This window comes from Homo sapiens, chromosome 3 (assembly GCF_000001405.40).
Source record: "Homo sapiens chromosome 3, GRCh38.p14 Primary Assembly".
Taxonomy (NCBI): Eukaryota; Metazoa; Chordata; class Mammalia; order Primates; family Hominidae; genus Homo; species Homo sapiens.
The window spans coordinates 104,900,440-104,923,243 of NC_000003.12; the positions used below are offsets into that span (position 1 = coordinate 104,900,440).

Below are 22,804 nucleotides of genomic sequence, written 5' to 3' on the forward strand. Positions count from 1 at the left end.
TTAATGTTATTTTGACAACAAAGAAATCACATATACTTCCCCCTTCATTGATCAATTGTTAGGAGTGGAAATGCTGGTAAGATGCACATCATAAAAATAATAAATAATACATTTTAATGTCTGAGCCAAAGACATTTGGATGGACAAGTGAAAAATATATATATATTAAAATAAGGAGGTGATAGCATGCCTATGAGAAATAGAAAATTAAGGAACAAAGAATAAGAGGCAATTGCAAAGCAAGGGGAATATTTAAAAATAATAATAACATAACACGGGTTTTACTTGTTTAGGAAAGATGCTAGAGAACTACTGTAGTATCTATTAGTAACAAGAGATGAAGCAACTTGATGAATGTTGCTCTGGGCCCTAGTTCATCCACAGAGGTCATGGAGGCGTATTGCTGATATGGGAGGGATAAAAACATCGGGGAAAATAAGTACAGCACCAGTAGTGACGGACTGAATCTGATTACAGAATCTATATTTCTATCATTCTCTAACTTACTTATTGGACTGTGGCTATAATTATCTCGGTTAACATCACTGAGTTATTAATTTAATTTTATATGAAAGAAAAAATTGTAAAAGACAATAAAATACATTTTGATGACATAGACTTTCAATAAATCTGTTTTATTTAAAAATGTAAAGAATCAGTAAATATTATTTTGTTTTCCTTGGACAGAGGTTCTACAAAAGCCAGAGGCTCTCTGGGTGACTGTTCTAAGCCTTGAATTGCCTAATCATGAATATCCCAGACATTTCAGAGGAATTTAATTAGGAAGGGCTACGAATCCAGGGGGAGTAATGAGCTATACTTTTCACAAAGAAAAACATCAGGTCCAGGCCTTTAATTTTCTGTAGATTCTTCATATCTTCATAGGTTTGATTTCCCATGAGTTTTAGGAGTTATTTATTGGTGCTTTCAAATTTTCCTCCTCTTATTGATTTCTAGTTTCCTAACGTTGTCATCAAAAAATATACTTGAAATGATTTAAATCCTCTTAAATTTGTTAAGATTTGGTTTTTGGCTTAACATATGACCTATCCTGGAGAATATTCCATGTTTCCTTGAAAACAGGATGTATTCTGCTATGGAATGTTTTCTGTAAAACTGTTAGGTTCATTTGTTCTACAGTACGATTTAAATCTGCTGTTTTTATTTTTGATTTCCTTTCTGGATGACCTTTCCATTGTTGAAAGTGAGTTAGGGCCTTTATATAACTGCATTGCTGTCTACGTCTCCTTCAGTTCTGTTAATATTTCTTTATGTATTTAGGTGTTCCAATGATGGGTGCATATATATTTAAAATTGTTATATAACCTCTTGATGAATTGATCCCTTTATCATTATAGAGTGATCATCTTAGTCTCTTGTGACTGCTTTTGACTTAAAATCTTTTTTTCTGATATAAAAATGGCTACTTCTGTTCTCTTTGGGTTACTGTTTGAATGACATGTCTTTTTCTATCACTTTACTTTTAGCCTATATGTGTTCTTCAGGTTAAAATGAGTCACTTGTAGGCAGCATATAGTTGAGTCTTGTTTTTTTTAAATTCAGTTATTCACTCTATGCCTTTTGATTGAAAAATTATTCCCTTTACATTCAAGGTAATTATTGATAGGTAAGGAATTACTACTGCCGTTTTGCTAATTGTGTTCTTAATATTTTGAAGTCTCTGTTCACTTTTTCCTTTCTTGCCCTCTTCCTTTAAAATATTATGATTTTTTTGTAGCAGAATGCTTCAATTTATTTCTCTTTATGTTTTGTGAATCTACTATAGGTCTTTTCTTTGTGGTTACCATGAGGCATACATAAAACATTTTATAGTTCTCAGTCCATTTTAAACTTATAACAACTTAACTTCAACCACATACATAATCTCCTCACTGTATTGATTCCAACCGACACTTTACAGACCTCAATTCATCATTTCTTTGACACATGTCAATTACTATGTAAAAAGTCAAACACAATGTCAAAGTACTTCAACTCTCCCCACATTTTATGTTACTGATGTCACAATTTACATATTTATACATCATGAATCTATTAGAAATTTATTATAGCTAGAATTACTTTTAATACTTTTGTCTTTCAACTTTTATACTAGAATTAAAAGTGATTTAAGCACCACCATTACAATACGAGTATTCTGAACCTTACCATAGTTTTTATCTTTACAGTCACTTTATACTTTCGTATGTTTTTATATTTTTAGTTAACATCCTTTCATTTCAACTTGAAAAGCTTTCTTTTAGCATGTTTTTTAAAGCAGGACCAATGTTTATAAACTACCACAGCTTTTGTTTTTCTAGGAAAGTCTTTATCTCTTTTTAATTTCTAAAAGAAAGCTTTACCACGTATGGTATTCTAGTTTGGCAAGGATTTGTTTGTTTGTTTGTTTTTTAGGTAATTTGAATACATTATCCAGTTCCCTGCTGGCCTGCCTGCAAGGTTTCTGTTGAGAAGTCTCCCTATAGTCTCATGAACATTCTTTTATATATGATGAGTAGCTCTTATCCTTCTGCTTTAAAAATTCTCTTTTACTTTTGAGAATTTGATTATATTGTGGTTTGGTGAAGATTTCTTTATATTTAATCTATTTGGGGCTAGTGTCTTCATGGATCTGGATGTGCGTTTTCCTCCCCAGATTTGAGAAGTTTTTGTTTTTAATTATTTAAATAACCTTTCTACCCCTTTATCTTTCTCTGCTCCTTTTGGGACTCCTCTAATATGTTCATTCATCCACTTGATGCTGTCCTATAGTTGTGTTGGGTTTCTTCACTTTTTTTGTTGTTGTTGTTACTCTGCATGACTAATTTAAATGACCTTTGAGCTTGCTGATTCTTTCTTCAGCTTGGTCAAGTCTGCTGTTGAAGCTGTCTATGACGTTTTTCAGTTCTGTCACTGTGTTATTTAGCTCCAGAATTTTTGTTTGATCCTTTTTTATGATTTTTATCTCTTTGTTGAAATTTTAATTTTGTTTGTGTGTTTTTTCTGATTTTGTGTATTTGTCGATGTGTTCTCTTGTAGCTCACTGAGTTACTTTAAAATAATTATTTTCAATTTTTCATCAGGTTATTCATAGATATCTTTCTTTAGGGTCATTTATTAGTGCTTTATTTTGTTTGTTTGGTGGTGACATTTTCCCCTGGTTATTCATTGTCCTGTGGCCTTGCATTGATGTCTGCACATTTTAAGAAGCAGGCAACTCATTCAGTTTTATTACTAACTGGCTTCAGTAGAGAAAGCCCTTTACCATTCAGCTAATTCAGATATTCTGGGTGAGCCCATGTTTCAGAGGTCACAGTTAGGTTTAGTGTTGGAGTCCTCAGGTGAACCAGCATAGTCCCTGTGTTAGCAGGTTGACAGGCCTGATGCCTGAGTTTACTGAAGTGGACCTGCAGCATGGGTTTATGTGGCCAGGCCTAGTGATTGAGTCTGTAGTGGTGGGCCCAGATTTTAGATACACAGGGGATAGCCGGATGCTGGTTTCCACTGGGGAGAGCCTGCAAAATGTGTCCCTGGGGGCAGGTCTGGAGGCTATGTTCACCAGGAGGGTACTTGCAGCCTGCATTTGTGGAGGCCAGCCTGAAGCCTGGGTACACAGGGTCCCACCAGTGCTGGGGTGGCTTCTGAGCCTGAGTCCAAGGGAGCTGGCTTACTGTTCATTCAGACCTGGTAGTTAGGTCTATGAAGATGGGCTTGGTTGTGTGTTTGCAAGGGCTGGTCTGGAGCTTGGGCCTGTAGGGTGGCCTTGTGCCTGGGACTTTTGGGTCAGTACTGGACATTGGGTCCATGGGAGTCAGCCTGGTGCTGGGGTCTCCTAGGGAATACCTGAACCCTAATTCAGCTAGAGCAGGCCTGACTTTGTGTCTGCTAAAGCTTGAAGCCATGGGGGCTGGTCTGGAGCCTGAAGCTATAGGGGCCAGCCTGGTGCCTGGGCTGAGGGTGCTGGCTTGGTGCTGGGGGCTGGCCTGGAGCCTCAGTCTGTGGGGATTATCCTAGGCCCTGGGGCCTAGGGGGTAGTCTGGGCCTAGGGGCTTACTGGGTTTTACCCAGTTTACTGGGGCTGCCCTGATGTTGGGGACTGCAGTGAAGTCAGGTGCTTACTTTATTCACCTTCTTCCACAATAAGGGCATATCTCTCCATGCTTTCTGCCCTGGCTTAGGAGCAGAATGACATGGGTAATGTACAATTGTTCTTCTTACCCTCTTTAATGCATGTCTTCATGTTTCTGTGCTCTAACCCAGTGCTGTAATCTCTCATCTGGATTCCTTCATTCTTAAGAAGGTATTTCACATTTGGATAGTTGTTAAAATTGATGTTTCTTTGAGGGAATAAACAATGGACTATCCTGTCACATCACTGCTGATGTCACTCTCCAGAAAATTATCATTTTAAATAGTCTTTCACATCTCTATATTAACATGAACTCAAAATGGTAAAATATGGACAATTTTGATTCTGTATTAATCACAGAGCAGGAAGAGAACTTAGACATTATGCATTTCAATTTTTTTTTTTTGCATTTCAATTTTCTACTTTCTTCTTCAATATATTTAGATGAACATCAACTGATACTCACTTTTATTATGGACAGTATAAAATAATGGTTAGCAATGTAGGCTATGGCTTTGTGGTGATTCCTACCTTTGCTAACTTGTTCAACCTTAGATAACTTATTACTTTACTTTTGAAATATTAGACAAATAACTTATTTAATGTATTTTCCTCATCATTTCCTTATTTATAAAATGGAGCTTATAATAGTACCTACCTCACTGCTCAATAAGACATTAAATGAGTAAAGCACTTAAAACCATGTCTGACTTATGGTTAATTCTCCAAAATTTTTAGCCATTATTAAAAATGTACCTTGTAAATTCACAAGGTAACCCAGTAATTTGTTGAATACTTTTTCATATGGGAAACTATTCTATATATTGTGTCAAACCTGCCTGACTGGTACTTTGGTCCCATTTATATTTTCAAAGGAAGAAATCTAGTGTTTTTTTATTTTTTAACCTTATCATGCATAAGTAGAAAGCAGTACTCATGTCCACTCTCTTTTGTGTGTGTAGGGTGAAACAAATCTAGTTCTTTATTATTTTTTGAAATTCTTTAGCATTCTCTCTGCCTTCCTCTGTTTAAGTCAAACTCACCAATATTCTTTAAACATAACATTAGGAAACAATATGGAAACATATACCCATTTATCAGCATTTTATATTAGAAACCCTGTCTACCTTGATCTACATCTGCTTAAGATTGCATTGGTTGTTTAAATACACATCATATTTTTAAAATTTTTATTTACTCATAAAATCAGAAAATAGAATATCAGAATTAGAAAAGACTTTAGACAGAAAATTATTCAAATCCCATTTTTACCAATGAAGAAATAACAACAGGACTAAAGAGGGGAAATTATTTTAGTACAGTTATTGAGCTCATTTTCCTAGTCTTGGTGGAGCCAGGACCAGGTCCTCAAGTCCAAAATCTGCAGGTCAGTATCTTTACCTCAGTGCCAAATTTAATCAAGTGCTAGTCTTCTTGTTGAGAGGCTCTAAAATTATACACAGTTGCCACAGGAAAGAGCACTATTGAGAGGTGACAGCGTGCTGGCAGCCCTCACTCGCTCTCGGCACCTCCTCCGCTGGCTCCCTCAGCTTGCAGGGAGGTGTGGAGGGAGAGGCGTGGGCGGAAACCAGGGCTGTATGCGTGCTCTAGGACCATCACGAGTTCCAGGTGGACATGGGCTCAGCAGGCCCCACATTCGGAGCAGCCAGCCGGCACCTCCAGCCCCAGGCAGTGAGGGGCTTAGCACCTGGGTCAGCAACTGTGGAGGCTGCGCTGGGTCCCCCAGCACTGCCAGCCCGCCCACACCACACTTGAATTCTCTCCTGGTCTCAGCTGCCTCCCTGTGGGGCAGGGCTCAGGACCTGCAGCCTGCCATGCCCAAGCCCCCCGCGGTGGGCTCCCATGTGGATCAAGCCCACCCAAGGGCTGAGTAGTGCAGGTGCGGCACAGGACTGGCAGGCAGCTCCACCCGTAACCCTGGCATTGGATCCACTAGGTGAAGCCTAGTGGGCTCCTGAGTCGGGTGGGGACCTGGAGAACTTTTATGTGTAGCCAGAGAATTGTATATGCACCAGTCAGCACTCTGTGTCTAGCTCAAGGTTTGTAAACACACCACTCAGCACCCTGTGTCTAGCTCAAGGTTTGTAAATGCACCAATCAGCACTCTGTGTCTAGTTAACCTGGTGAGGACTTGAAGAACTTTTATGTCTAGCTAGAGGATTGTAAATGCACCAATCAGCACTCTGTGTCTAGCTCAGGGATTGTAAATGTACCAATCAGCACCTTGTCAAAACGGACCAATCAGCTCTCTGTAAAACGGACCAATCAGCTCTCTGTAAAATGGACCAATCAGCTCTCTGTAAAATGGACCAATCAGCAGGATGTGGGGGTGGAGGGGACAGCTAAGGGAATAAAAGCAGGCTGCCCCAGCCAGCAGCTGCAACCCACTCAGGTCCCCTTCTGCACCGTGGAAGCTTTGTTCTTTTGCTCTTTGCAATAAATCTTGCTCTTGCTCACTCTTTAAGTCCGTACTGCTTTTATAAGCTGTAACACTTACCACAAAGGTCTGCAGCTTCACTCCAGAAGCTAGCGAGACCATGAACCCACTGAGAGGAATCAACAGTTATGAATGGGAGGAACGAACAATTCTAGACGCACCACCTTAAAAGCCGTAACACTCACCGCAGAGTTCTACAGCTTCATTCCTGAAGCCAGAGAGACCACGAACCCACCAGAATGAAGAAACTCCATACACGTCCGAACATCAGAAGGAACAAATTCTGAACACACCATCTTTAAGAACTGTAACACTCACTGCGAGGGTCCGTGGCTTCATTCTTGAAGTCAGTGAGACCAGGAACCCACCAATTGGCTGGACGCGGTGGCTCACGCCTGTAATCCCAGCACTTTGGGAGGCCGAGGCAGGTGGATCACTACTAAAAAATACAAAAATTAGCTGGGTGTGATGGCGGACGCCTGTAGTCCCAGGTACTCGGGAGGCTGAGGCAGGAGAATGGCAGGAACCCAGGAGGCGGAGCTTGCAGTTAGCCAAGATCGCGCCACTGCACTCCAGCTTGGGTGACAGAGCCAGACTCTATCTCAAAAAAAACACACCAGTTTCGGACACACTATGACTGTTAGAAATCTCTAGCATGGGCAAAGGAAAGGGAAGTGGTGACTCGCTTACCATGTATGTATTATTTTTAATCTGAATTCTTCTTAATTGAGATCATTCCTATACTGAGATTAAGCAATTGATCTTTCTGAATCCAAATGAAGAATTTCACTTTACATTTACCAAGTTAGGAATTACTAATTTTAGTCCATTATTCTAGTCTGTTGATCTTATCTCACATTTTGATTCTGACACCAAATATATTTGTTATTCCTTATATTTATAGGACATTCACAAATTTGATAAGCATAAACACTACATTTTTATCCAAAGCACTCGCTAAAATGTAGAACAAAGATATTTTCATACTTTAATAATCTCTAATATTTTTCCTAAACCAGAACGGAGAGCAAATATTGTTCCCCATACCTAGGTTATATCTAATGGCAATTAAGGAGCAGGCCAGAAAACAGTCCTATGCTCAGCCACTACAGATTTCTTTTAAATGTGATTTCATGAGAATATGAATATGAAGAGAATATTAAATATACTTGCCTTAGAAAAATAACATTATTTATTCAATATAAATGAGTAGAAGAGGCCAGGCGCAGTGGCTCACTCCTGTCATCCCAACACTTTGGGAGGCCGAGGCCAGCATTTCATCAGGTCAGGAGATCGAGACCATCCTGGCCAACATGGTGAAACTCCGTCTCTACTAAAAATACAAAAATTAGCTGGGCGTGGTGGCACGTGCCTGTAATCCCAGCTACTTGGGAGGCAGAGGCAGGAGAATCGCTTGAACCAGGGAGTCAGAGGTTGCAGTGAGCCAAGATCACGCCACTGCACTCCAGCCTGAGGACAGAGTGAGACTCCGTCTCAAAATAAACAAACAAACAAATAAATAAATAAAAACAAAAATAATAAAAATAAAAAATAAATGGATAGAAAAGATATGTAAGTAGTTCCAAGGAGGGAGTATATAGAAAAAAAAAATGTTCATTGAAGATGAAGGCAGTAGAAAAAGAATATAGACTATTTAGACTATTTAAAAACTTTAAAAAAATTGAAAACATTTTATAAATCATCACAAAAATATGAATTAGACCAAAGAACTAAATTGCAACCCTGAAAAGGACTCTACATTTCTCTTCAATATTACACAGGAAAATGCCCGAAACCTTCAGGCAGCTTCCTAGCTGCAAAGTGGGGCAGGTCACAGCAAGCCCCCAGTGCTTACTGGCCAGTTCAAAACACTTCACTCCTGGGACCAGTAAAAGAGTAAGTTGTGAATACTGAAGCACTAAACAGCATGACACCTGGCTGCCCAGGAAACATTTTATCTGCTATGCCTAAAAGGCAGCTTGCTTATGGGTCTTTAAAAATCCGTACTGGCTTCTCACTGCTATTAGGAGGAAATGAATAAGCAAACCAAACTAAACTTTAGATTCTTTCTCCAGTACCACAGAAGCAAATACTGGGACTCTTTTTTTATAAATCTTTTTTATAAACTGGGTCCTGACTTTTCCATCAGTGTGCCTGTCCCAATACTAAAAGAAATTTTATTTTGAAAAAGGCAAAAATATACATAAATCCAAAATACCCTTCATGTTATGGGAGGGATTGTTATGGCAGCCAGCACCTGGGTGTATATACACAAGAGGCCGTTGCAGTTGTGCATATTTCTACTGCTCAGTCAAGGCAAACAGCAACCAGCTGGCTGTGACTAGCTCAGACTAATAAGCATAAAATCAACATAGGCTGATCCAGGCTGAATATCAGCATCTGTTATGCCATTGTCTCTGCTGATATGTCTGACTGAGCAGAAGGAAGAGCCAAATAGACAGCCTGCTATGAGGCAGAACACAACATGAGGAGCTTCTAACCACCTGCCAAGTTTTTGGTGAAGGAGCAATGGTGAGGAGACTAGTCAAATCCACAGAGAAGGTGCCTCATATGACCCTATAAACTCTGCTTTCTTTTCCAATCAGGTTTTCCCTTCTGCATTGCTTTGGGGTACTTTTAAACAAAAGGCAATAATAAAGAGCCATTGATGAGTCAAGAATTACATTAAAGATCAAGAATCATAATATCATTTTATGTTTCATTTCACTCACAAGAGACAGCCAGATGAGCAAATATAGCCGACCATGTGCTACTGCAACAAATGCTGAGGCATCCCTCTGACGTGAGCCAGTAATATTAAAAACATCAGTTATGGGGAAAACTTACCTCTCACCTATTCCTTCCTCAAGCTACTGTGGTTCTGCTCCTCAACTTGGCTTTGTCCCTGGGCATATGCACCACTTCCTGTCACTTCAGAAGCACTCAGAACATTAACATTACGCTCAGGCTCCTCTGATGCTTGATTACTCCACAGAGGAAACTACTCATCTCTCGAGAGGAGGGACTCTTAAATCATAATTTAAAGGCCAAGGTTGAAAACTGATGAAGAGGAAAAACAAATGTTATTTTTTCCAATCTTTCTTCTCTAATAGGCACGCCAGATTAGGGTTTTGAAAATACTATCTTCTCTTAGTATTTGTCCAATGAAATAAACTGAAAATCACTTGTCATGTTTTAATAGGATAATACTCTCTGAGTTCTACAAAGCATTTTTTTTTTTTTTGAGATGGAGTCTTGCACTGTCTCCCAGGCTGGAGTGCAGTGGCGCAATCTCGGCTCACTGCAAGCTCCGCCTCCAGGGTTCACGACATTCTCCTGCCTCAGCCTCCCGATTAGCTGGGACTACAGGCACCCGCCACCACACCCAGCTAATTTTTTTGTATTTTTAGTAGAGACAGGGTTTCACCACGTTAGCCAGGATGGTCTCGATCTCCTGACCTCGTGATCCGCCTGCCTCAACCTCCCAAAGTGCTGGGATTACAGGCGTGAGCCACTGTGCCTGGCCTCTACATAGTATTTTACAAAAAGAGTGTGAGTGTGGAAGTTTAGTGATTTTTAAAATGGTATTTCAGGCCGAGTGTGTTGGCTTATGCCTCTAATCCCAATACTTTGGGAGGCTGAAGTGGGAGGATTGCTTGAGCCCAGAAGTTTAAGAACAGCCTAGGCAACATGGCAAAACCCCATCTCTACAAAAAAATTACAAAAATTAGCCAGGCATGGTGGCGGGCACCTGTTGTCCCAGCTACTTGGGAGGCTGAGATGGGAAGATCACCTGAGTCCGGGAGGTCAATGCTGAAGTGAGCTATGATTGAGCCATTGCACTCCAGCCTGGGTGACACAACAAGAACCTGTCTCAAAAAAAAAAAAACAAATGTTTTAAAAGTGTGACCCAGAGGTGTGTATATAATTGATATGTAGACATTCAAACATATCTGTAGTAGCTAAAGAAAATAAGCCATGAGGACTTTTTTTTAAAAAAAAAAGAAAATAAGTGAGTTGAACAAAATAAGAAGAGGAGGCAAGGGAGATCAGAAATTTAGAATTTATATTATTTGGTGTAAATGGAGAGGAAAAAAAAGTTGTCTTAAATGTGAGGATTCCAAAACTGTGAATAACTCTGAGGAAAAAAGACTGATGCTGCAAATTAGCTCAGCATTTTTATGTTTTCTAGTGTTTTCAAGAAGCCCACATGGAGTACATTTAAAAGACACATCAGTACCTTATAATTCAATGCTTTTCGATTTTCTCTGTGCATCAGAATTATCTGGCTAACTTTTTAAAAAATGTCCAAACTTTACATCACCATCTCCCCCTCATTCTGTAGTTTGTTTTACTTATGGGGGTGGAGCCCAGATAATAGAAACTTTTTAAAGCACTCCAGGGGATTTTGCTCCTGCCACAGCTAAGAACCACTACAGCTGCAAAGGGAGAAATGCCCTAAAAGAACTAACGAGGATATGAGGAAAAGAGATTTTGGGTATCTCACCAACTCTCCTTTACAAGGTTTCTGAAGTCATGTGTGTGTGTGGTTTTGAAAGTTTCCACTAAATGATGACACTATAGAGCAAAGATCCTCACTCTCTTTAGATACTTGAACTGGATAAACCAAGCTTTCATAAGAGAAAATTGAAAGTAAAGCTCAACCAATTCAGTTGTCACATCTAAGAATTAAGACTTTTTTCTTTTGGTGTGGGCATTATAAATGGGATTGTGTTCTTTATTTGGCCCTCAGCTTGAATGTTGTTATTGGTTAATAGAAATACTGATGTTTGTACATTGATTTTATATCCTGAAACATTACTGAAGTCGTTTATCAGTTCCTGGAGCCTTTTGGCAGAGTGTTTAGGGTTTTCTAGGTATAGAATCATATCTTCTGCAAAGAGAGATACTTTGACTTCTTTTCCTATTTGGATGCCTTCTATTTCTTTCTCTTGCCTGATTACTGTGACTAGGACTTCCAGTACCATGTTAAATAGGAGTGTTGAGAGTGGGCATCATTTTTGTGTTCTGGTTCTCAAGGGCAATGCTTCCAGTTTTTTCTTATTCAGTATGATGTTGACTGTGGGTTTGTCATAGATGGCTCTTATTGTTTTGGAGTATGTTCCTTCAATGCCTAGTTTATTGAGGGTTTTATCATGAAGGGATGTTGGAATTTTTTTTCTTTTTTTTTTTTTTTAGATGAAGTCTTGCTCTGTCTCCCAGGCTGGAGTACAGTGGCGTGATCTCAGCTCACTACAAGCTCTGCCTCCCAGATTCACACCATTCTCCTGCCTCAGCCTCCAGGCACCTCAGGACTACAGGCACCCGCCACCACGCCCGACCACTTTTTTGTATTTTTAGTAGAGAAGGGGTTGCACCATGTTAGCCAGGATGATCTCGATCTCCTGACCTCCTGATCCACGTGCCTCAGCCTCCCAAAGTGCTGGGATTACAAGCGTGAGCTACAATGTTGGATTTTTATCAAAAGTTTCTTCATGTATGTTGAGATGACCATATAATTTTTTGAAAACTTTCTGTTTATGTGGTGAATCACGTTTATTGATTTGTGCATGTTGAAACAAATTTGCATCCCAGGAATGAGTCCTACTTGATCATGGTGAATTAACTTTTTGATGTGCTGTTGAATTCAGTTTGCTGGTATTTTGTTGGGAACTTTTGTGTCTATGTTGATCAGGGATATTGGCCTGCTGCTTTGTTTTTATTTGATGTGCCCTTGGCAAATTTTGGTATCAGGGTGATGCTGGCTTCACCTAATTAAACTAAAGAGCTTCTGCACAGCAAAACACACTTTCTGCATAGCAAAAGACACAGAGTAAACAGACAACCAACAGAATGGGTGAAAATATTCAAGAACTATGCATCCAAAAAAAGTCTAATATCCAGAATCTGTAAGGAAATTAAACAACTTGACTAGCAAAATATATATATATATATATAATAATCCCTATGAAAAATGGGCTAAAGACATGAGCAGACACTTCTCAAAGAAGACATACAAGTAGCCAACAAACATGAAAAAATGTGCAACATCACTAATCATCAGAGAAATGCAAATAAAAACCACAATGAGATAAGATCTCACACCAGTCAGAATGGCTATAATTAGAAAGTCAAAAAACAACAGGTATTGGTAAGACTGTGGAGAAAAGGGAATGCTTATACACTGTTGATGAGAATGTAAATTAGTTCAGCCTCTGTGGAAAGCAGTTTGGAGAGTTCTCAAAGAATTTAAAACAGAACTACCATTTGACCAATCAATCCCATTACTGGGCATATACTCAAATGAAAACAAATTATTCTACCAAAAAGACTCATACACTCACATGTTCATTGCAGCACTGCTTACAATAGCAAAGACATAGTATCAACCTAGATGCTCATCAACAGTGGATTAAAGAACCGCATATACTATGGAATATTTTATGTTGTTATGGCTGGTTATGTGGCCATAAAAAAGAATAAAATCATGTATTTTGCAGCAACGTGGATGCAGCTAGAGGTCATTATCTTAAGTGAATTAACACAGGAAAATCAAATATTCCATGTTCTTACCTATAATTGGGAGCTAAACACTGGCTATGCATGAACATAAAGACGGCAACAATAAACACTGGGGACTACATGGGGGAGAGAGGGATGGGCACAAGAGTTGAAAAAACTAACTGTTGGGTATTATGATCAGTACCTGTGTGACAGGATCAGTTACACCCCTCTGGGTATATTGCATAATGCAATATACCGAGGTAATAAATCTGCACATATATAACCCCTGCATCTAAAATAAAAGTTGAAAGAAAAAGAATTAAGAAACTTATTCTTAAAGAGGTGAAGTGACTTTACTTATTACATATGATGAACTGTATTTCAGATTGGAGGTCTGCTATATTCTCTTCAGTGCCTATAGCTCTTTGTCCATGGCTAAAATAAGAAACTAATCAGTTTTAGAAATGTCATTATGAGTCTAAGAACCCGTCCCTTTTTTTTTTTTTTTTTTTTTTTGAGACGGAGTCTCACTCTGTCGCCCAGGCTGGAGTGCAGCGGTGCCATCTCAGCTCACTACAACCTCCACTTCCCAGGTTAAGAACCGCTATCTTGAAGTGTGTGTCTCAGTACCGTGGTCCCCAGGTGATTTTGGAGAGGCTGAATAAGCAGAGGCAAGAAGGAAACAGGGCCCACTTGAAAGAAGTTTAATGAATTTAGAGCCGAAGTGTTCATTTAGTTAAGAAAGTTGGGTGAGACAAGAATGTATATCTATATTTAAGAAAAGAAGGCCGGGCGTGGTGGCTCACATCTGTAATCCCAGAACTTTGGAAGGCCAAGGCGGGCGGATCATGAGGTCAAGAGATCAAGACCATCCCGGCCAACATGGTAAAACCCTGTCTCCACTAAAAATATGAAAATTAGCTGGGTGTGGTGGTACATGCCTGTAGTCCCAGCTACTCGGGAGGCTGAGGTAGAAGAACTGCATGAACCCATAAGGTAGAGGTTACAGTGAGCTGAGATCGCACCCCTGTACTCCAGCCTGGCGGCAGAGCAAGACTCTGTCTCAAAAAATTTAAAAAAAAAAAGAAAAGAAATTAGATCTTTACCTCATTGCAAATACAAAACATGAATTCCATTTGTAGAAAATGCCCAAAAGTAAAAATATAAATGTTTAAAATTTTATAACAAAATACAGCCATTATTTTAAGGCTCGGTGCAAAAATAGATTTCTTAAGATAAACAAAAAAAGCACAGATCACAGAATAAATAAAATGAAAATTTGACGACAGTACATGTATAATTCTGTACCATAATAAGACACAATTTAAAAAACAAATTTCAAGACACAGGTTGGAAGAAAATTCTTCAAAAATATATAACAGGGAAAGAATTGGTATCCAGAATATATAAAAATACAATGTAGTTTTTTAAAATAACTAAATGGAAGAAAACAAGGGCAAATTCACAATTCACAGAAGAGGAAACTCTAATGACCAGTCAACAGATGAAATCATACCCAATCTAAAGAAAATGTAGATTCAAATAACCAGAAAATGCTCTTTAGCACTCAGCAAATTGGCAAGATAACTAATATGTGATAATTTCAAATACCAACAAACAATAGAAGGTACAAATTCTCATGCATCCCTAGTTGTAGTAAAAATTGCTCCAACTCCATTATGAAATAATGTAGAAATAACTGGCAGGTATACATATATAAGACCAGAAATATCACATATATGTATATATCCTTGTGAAACTCACACAGCATACAAGAAATGTGCAGATTATTCGCTGAAGCATTAATTTCTATTAGAAAAACAAAATGTGAACAACCTAAATATTCAACATGAGACTCTGAAAGTAAATTATGGTATGCCCTATATTGGAATCCTGTAGACCTGGTAAAATAAATGAACAAAGTTACCTGTGTCAATAAACGTTGAACGAAATAAGAGAAGAGGCAGTAGAAAAGAAAGAGAAAAAAGGAAAGTTTATTTCCTTTAGCCAAAAAACTTTCAGAGTTAGTGGGAAAACACTAAAGGAAGTACTGTAGTAAACTGATTTAATACTCTGACCTTTGCAGTCAAGTAAAAGTGGGTTCAAAATCTTTATCTGACACTTATTTCCAATGTAATATTAGACAATTGCTCAATTTCTTTAAGCCTATTGTGTTCATCCATAATATAAAAATAATAAAATCTAACTTATGAAATTGTTTCAGGCATTAAATTAGGTAAGAGTAAATTAAAAGTTTTTCTGGCTTAAGAAAATTGTTCAATTAAAAAATAGATTACAGTAATCTCTTTTCTCATCTTCTTTTTTCATCTTTATACATATTGTGCTAAATGCTATAAATATTATGTTGCCCGATAAGAATACGGTCCCTACTCCTGCAGAACCTAATGATTCTCTTAGAATTAGACCTAAAGACAAAGTTACGTCAGCTACCTAAGCATCTCACAGTGTGAAACCTCTAACCTCTATGTGCTTTCACTAAACATAGCATTTGCTTGCTCAGGCTATCAATCAACTGAACAAAGAAACAAAACAACCCCTCAAACCAGAAAATCCATAATCTTCAAGTACATCTCGTTCTTTGAAGCAGATGTTGCCATTATTATAAAGGTCAACTCTTCATTTAGGGTTTAGATGGGTGATATTTGAAGAAGGCTGAACATATTGGATTAATGACTGACAGTAACAGATTACCAAACTAGGCATATAGTAAATGCTCTACAGATTAGCTAAATGAAGGTAATGTGTCCTAATTTTGATTTGTCTAAACTCACTAGTACTTTGCAGACATCAAACCATTTCAAAACATTAGGTTCATAAACAAGTGAACAGATTCTTTATCAGGATCAAAGTAATAAAGTTAAGATTTGAGTTTCTCACCATGTAGTCAATAACATGAAGAAAGAATATGGAGGCTGAGGAAAAAGAGTAGTGTATATATCCCTGTTATCTTCAATCCCCCTCCCTTATTTCAGTCTCTCTCAATCTCTCATTAAAGACTTCATTAACAGCATTTTACAACAACCCAACAGAAAAGAATAAATTTCAGGAGTTTTATTAAATGGAATAGATTGCTTTACACATAAGAGTCATGGTTAAATTTCAACAATACAGCATGTTAATTGCAAAATAAAAATAAATGTAGCTTTTAAAAGATCAGGAACTGTGTTAGCTGTGACTAATGACAACGGCAACAAAAAGAAAAACATGCCCTCATTCCTATGCAATAAAGGCTAATAAAGCCTACTTCTATAACATTTTAGTTTCAGAAATTATCCAAAGGAGAGCAGATCTGCCTCTAGTAAAATTGTTTAAAGTGTTTGATAGACTGAATTGAACAAGTCCTTTACTAATGTACTTACACTTAAAAAATAAAAAATAAAAATAGGAAATGTTGTCACATTAAGTTGCATTTAAATGAGAATATTTACTTCAAGAGAATTTGTTCAGATTACTTAAGTCAAAGTTATATACATGTAGCTTGAACATTTTGTTAGAAGTAGTAAAACTAATTTTCAGTGAAACAAAAATATTTGAAGTTCTTAGGATGTATGCATTAGATAAATATTTATAGGCCACATTCTTCAGATACCAAGATTAAATAAACCAACAACAGAGCCATAACCCATAAAAAGCCTACACTTTATAAAGGATATTAGTAGACGTCATTGCAGCTGTATTTTTTAAGCAGAATTCTGAAGGATGGCTATAAGAGGATTAATTAGAAAAGATGGTGAATGTGTCTCATACTAGAGAGAGGAAAAGGCATAATTGTAAAATGCTATTACATTGTGGTATGTCCTTGGGTAAAACTGAGTAGTTGGATGCAAATAATAAAGTAGTAGTATTTAGTTTCTTAATGTCATTAATACTAGTGTTTCAGTAGCAGTCTGATTTCTCAATCTTACCATCCACTTAGAGGAAAAGGCCATTCTCTTCTCTCACTACATCTCTTATCCTGGATCAATGTATACATCATGAAATATGGCCACTTTGGCTCCATGCTCTGATCTTCCAGAAAAAGGATAATGCTTCAACTTAATGGGTAAATCAAAGATAACAGAAAATCTCAACCCATTTCAAGTGGCCCATGGGAGAAAGGGCTTGCTTTGTAATTGCGTTCTTGCTCTCTCTCTGCATCTTGTCCCACTCTTCTGCATATTCTCAGCTCCATATGGCCTAAAACCATGCCCTTACATGTCATGGGACCCAATAACAATGACTTAAACTAGATTTTCTAATTTACATCTCATGAGAAGTTTACCCATATTGTTTTACACTTTCCCAAATGAACTTTTAAAAATTATTATAATATCATTGGCTTTGACTTTAAATGGTATTCTCGCAAACCATGATGAGTAGGGAAACATTGCATAGCTCCAGGATATTTAACTTTTGTTCCAAATTCTTATCCATGTTTCATGGTTTGAGAAGTCTTGTTATGTGTCCCTTTTCATAGTACTAGATTTCTGAGTATCACAAAGAGAGAATGTTTTCTCTCTTTGCTTTAGTATCTTAAATCTGTTTAAAGGGTAAATGAGGTAAACCTTGCCAGTTACTCAAAAGATGAATAGAACATTAAGTTTTGGGTTTACAAAGAATTTTGGGTTTACTAGATTATGTATGGTGTTGACCTTTACAAGAAAAGCAAGAAGGCAGTACAGTTATACAAGAATCCACAGCATGATTTATTTTCCATTAGTTCTGTGAGTTTAATGGAGAACAAGATCATAGGGGATAATTTTAAATCAATGAAGTAAAATAAAGTGAAGGGAAGAGAGTTGTTAAGTGCATTTAGGAGTCCCTTTTAGGTAGCTTGGACTAGCAGTAAGTTTTCTCTTTTTTGTTTTCTCGTGACTCTGAAGTAGAGGTAACTTTCTGGCAAACTTTAGAATGGGAGCTACTCATACACTAATGAACGATATTTGGGTTATAAAGCAGTAGGAATTTTGTTTAGGGAGAAATGTATCTAATCCTTGTTATTTGAGAAAAATTTTGGATAGTATGTTCTTTCCAAACCTATCATTCCACAAGACACCCATACTTCTGACACTTAAAGTTTTTTATTTTCAAGATTATTGTGCAAATTCTAGCTAACTGACACTTTAGGTTCATTAAATCCTTTTCACAACTAATTGACACCTCAGTTTGAGTAAGATTGATGGAAATAAGTCTGAGAATAGTTCTTGAGTTAGGGAAAGACTAAGGGAGAAAGGAGAAAGGGGTTTTGAGGTAGTTAATATGGTTACAACATAGGGGACATCCAATGTTCAAACAGGAAAAGCCCAAGACATTTCGATGTACATGATTTAGGACAAAATTGGAAAAGTCCTTAAATACGTAAATGATTTCAGTCCAATAGACAGGCTTCTTCAATCCAAAATATTATTTCTGATTGACAAAACCAGTAAAAGATTTAGCCTACCTGCCCTGACAGAGCAGATCAGATAGCATTTGGTAACCAATAATTTCCATAATGAGTGATAATACTTTGGCATCACTAGTGGGTTAAATCCCTGAGTTTTAAAGTTAGACCATTTAGGCTCCAATTTTTGCTCTATTGCTCCTAAACTAAGTAGGCTTGGATATATTATATAATCTCCCTTGTTGCCAATTTTCTTGTATGTAAACTGAGAATGTTGCTTAGAAGTCAGAAAGAACACAATAGTAATACATAGTAAATATAATGATTGATTTGATGAGAGCAATAATGGTAGCCTAGGAAAAGAAGTGACTGCTTTGCCTATGGGAGTTAGAGACAGCTTCCCAAAAGAGGTAAAATGAGTTAAAATCTAAATAATGTGAAGGAATTTGCCAAGTATATAAATTTCAGCTGTGAATTTTATGTGATTAAAAACCTCATGCAAAGCCAAGAGGTACGAGAGTGCATGTTAAGCTGTAATTTAGGATGTTTGGAGTTTAAAGGGCAAGAAGGACCTAATATAAACCGAGGCAATGGGGAACCACAGATTATTTAGAGCAGAGGTAATATATGTATAACCTTCAAAATTCATGTTGAAACTTAATCCGCATTGTGGTGGTATTAGGAAGTGGGGCCCTTTGGTAAGTGATTTAAGATGATGGTTCAGTAAAACTTGCATAGTTATCATTCAGTAGTATCAGCTAAAATATTCTTAACAAAGTATTGTTTTCTTTTCTTTCAAAAAAAGTATACGAAATCTTTTGAACATATTGAAGACAGTTCAATATGTGTCTGGGAGATCGACAGACACAGTTTTGTAAGCCTAAAACGAGTCCAATATCTTCCCCCAACAATTTTAAAAGCTATTCCAAAACATGGTATTTCTTCCTTGGTATGCTGAGGTGGAGGTGGGTAGTTACTAAAGATTAAGTTTTTTGGTCCCAAAACCTTACCTAGGAATAGCCCTCTTTGAATGTAAGACTGTGGTGGTTTTCCACAAATCTGTGGACAACTCCTAAAAAAGTCCAGTATCAGCCTAACACATCATGCAGTGACCAGGAGTTACAGGACGACCAAATGGAAAACATGGCTTCATGGGACAAATCATTCAATTAGTTGTAGGGACCCTAGGATTACATGTTTGAGGTTTAGGGGAGGGCCCTTTAGCAGCTCTGTGCCTGTATTAGTCCATTCGCATTATGCTATAAGGACATACCCAAGACTGGGTAATTTATAAAGGAAAGAGGTTTAATTGACTTATAGTTTTGCATGGCTGGGTAAGTCTCAGGAAACTTACAAGCAGGGCAAAAGGGGAAGTAAACACGTCCTTCTTCACAAGGCAGCAGGAGAGAGAAGAATGAGAACCAAGTGAGGGGGAAAGCCTCTTAAAAACCATCAGATCTTGTGACAACTTATTCACTATCATGAGAATAGCACAGGGGAACCACCCCCATGATTTAATCACCCACGTGGTGCCTCCCCCAACACGTGGGGATTACAATTCGCATTACAATTTAAGATGAGATTTGGGTGGGGACACAGAGCCAGACCATATCAGTGCCTCTGTGTCTTCCACTACAACGCTGTATATAACAAGTGTCCAACTGCCTTCTGTGAGGAAGTAGAGAGAAATGTGTCACAGAAACAAATGTAGTGTCATTCCTCCTCTGGAATTAATGTAGCAGTGATGGTCCAACTGGAGAAGGCCAGCATAATTAATCTTTAACTTGGAAATATCCTGATGATTCGGCACATTTCTATTAGGTCTGATTTTTGAACTATTGTCAAGGGATATTAAACAAATCTAGGAATAGGCAAGATAAATACCTTTTACTTTCTTGCTTATCATTTTGCTTTACTTTCTTGTGGAAGGCACATATTTAATAGGATACAGACATAAATATGCTGAAATTTCACTTTTTTATTTCACATAATTTTGAGTCAATATTCTGTCTGATATAGAATGCTTAATTTAGTTGCTTATATAAAACTTTATCAAGCTGATAATTTATGCTACCTCATTCAGGTTTCAAACGCAGCCACTTTCTGAAGCAGTCCCCTTCCTCTCTTTTCTGGGGCTGATTCTGAGCACCCTAGTTTATCCAGTGGATCACTTGATCTTCAAACCATCAGATCTCTACCCCCCCAATGTCTCTATTCCATTCCAAGAGGCATGAGAATTTCAAGACACTCTCTCATACCCCAATAAGGTACTAGAAATGTTAAAGGGCTTGGGAGGATCTTTCATGCTTAGACAAACCCAAGAGACCCCCTATAAGGCATGTCATTGACTTGGATGACCTCCAGAAATCAAATATAGCTATTCCAGATAGACAGCACTACAGCTTACCCCTTCTTCTTAAGCCATGGAAGAGATGGCTTAGATTGACCTGATAATGATTGAGGATGATCATATCCTTTATATACACACACAGCTTCTACTCATTCCTTGGTGTTGTCTCCAGCTCTTTCCACCAATTTTAGGCCTATGGCTTAGTAAGGTAAACAAAAGGAGCACATTCTTAAATATGTCTTCCTTCAAGATTTTAAAACAATAATTGTGGATTTTTGTTCTTTGATTTACTATACTCGAGCCTAAAGCAAAGACTGCATATAGTAGTTTGTGTGAAAGGTTGTCAATGAATGCTTCGAATATGGTTCTTTGAGTGCTTCTGCCAAGGGTAAATTTTTACCAAAACAATGGATTTTGCAAACATTTCTAAGCATGAAAACAATATGGCTAAATTAGCACTTATCAGAGAGCTCAATCTCAAATTCAGTTCTAGTTAGCTCTTATTAAAATTGATGTTAGAAACAAATAGTTTTTGAACAAGTAAGTTTAAAGATCATGCTATACTACCATTGTTCCAGCGCAGTGCTTTTCAAACCTGTTAGAATCACCTTTTCAAACCTGTTACAAGTTACAAAGCTTGTAAAAATTACCCATGTTATGCTTCATTCCATACCAGTTATATCAGAATCTCAAAGGGTGGAGCTTAGGCATTAACTTTTTAAAACAAAAAGTAAAATAAAAATAAAGCTCCTGAAGCTTTACTGTTTCAGATGTTTTAATGTTTTAAAACATTTAAATATTTTTATGGATTTAATGTGCAGCCAGAGTTGAGAGTCACTTGTCTAAACTGTCAATAACCATTGCTTTTATTGGATTATTAAGATTGGGTATAAGAAAGAGTTATAGGAAAAACAGTTTCTAACTTCTACAGACTTTCCACTGTGTTGCTCAATAACCATTTGATATGGTTTGGCTGTGTGTCCCCACCCAAGTCTCATCTAGAATTGTACTCCCATATTTCCCACATGTTATTGTAGGGACCCTGTGGGAGATAACTGAATCATGGGGGCAGTTTCCCCATACTGCTGTCGTGGTAGTGAATAAATCTCATGAGAGCTGATGGTTTAATCGGAGGTTTCCACTTTTGCGTCTTCCTCATTCTCTGCCTGCTGCCATCCATGTAAGACGGCACTTGCTCCTCCTTGCCTTCCACCATGATTGTGTGGCTTTCCCAGCCACATGGAGCAGTAAGTCCAATTACATCTCTTTCTTTTTTAAATTGCCCAGTCTTGGGTACATCTTTATTAGCAGCGTGAAAATGGACAAATACACCACTATAAAGAGAATAACATGCTAAATGTCTATTATTTTAGCATCATGAAAATTTCCATTTTGGTCTCATTGAAATATAGATATGCTCCCTGACATCAGAGGAATGCTTGCAATCTATTTGGTCTTATTTGTGCTTTAGTAGCCAGAAAGTCTGGGGCTGAAATGATTGCCCTGTTGCATAATTATTTCATGTTTAAATTACTAATTAATATTACCCCCTTATTTAATATCATCCCATTACAGTGAATTCAGTATTATTTTTATTCTAAATCAAAGTTAATATCAGAATAAGCATTAAATTCATTGATCACCTATTTGAGAGCTGGTTATTAGTATGAAATTTTTGCAACAGTATCATGTCAGCTGGTTTAATCCCTAGTTGCCATTCCTGAATACATTTCCTGGTTTTTAGCTTGCATTAATTTGGAAGTTTCCATTACTTATCTATATCTGTTGGGAAGACAGTCTTGTCATTATACAAATGTATTTTACTTTATAAAATGATGTGTTTCTGAAACTTCAGGTATCAACCAACCTTTTAAGACTCAATTATATTTTAAATACATGAGATCTATCTTTTTAAAGCATTAAGCAGAAAGTATTTTTTCTGTGTGTGAATTGAATCATCATTTTGTAAGACATCTTACC

The 22,804-nt window shown here is 37.5% G+C and overlaps 1 long non-coding RNA gene across 1 annotated transcript in view, besides 1 other annotated feature; it reads right to left on the minus strand.

The window, feature by feature from the left end:
• The window catches only part of LOC107986108 (uncharacterized), a 279,502-nt gene extending 269,959 nt beyond the window's left edge, over positions 1 to 9,543 (minus strand). The window contains exon 1 of the long non-coding RNA XR_001740833.2: positions 9,435 to 9,543. This is a non-coding gene — a long non-coding RNA (uncharacterized LOC107986108). The remainder of the gene's footprint in view (positions 1 to 9,434) is intronic.
• Positions 3,864 to 4,418: an enhancer, noted in NCBI's record as "H3K27ac-H3K4me1 hESC enhancer chr3:104623147-104623701 (GRCh37/hg19 assembly coordinates)". NCBI's record gives its function as "activates a minimal SCP1, AML or CMV promoter by ChIP-STARR-seq in naive H9 embryonic stem cells {active_cell/tissue: H9 hESC(naive)}" and the evidence as "EXISTENCE:reporter gene assay evidence [ECO:0000049][PMID:30033119]".
• Positions 9,544 to 22,804: the final 13,261 nt, after the last annotated feature.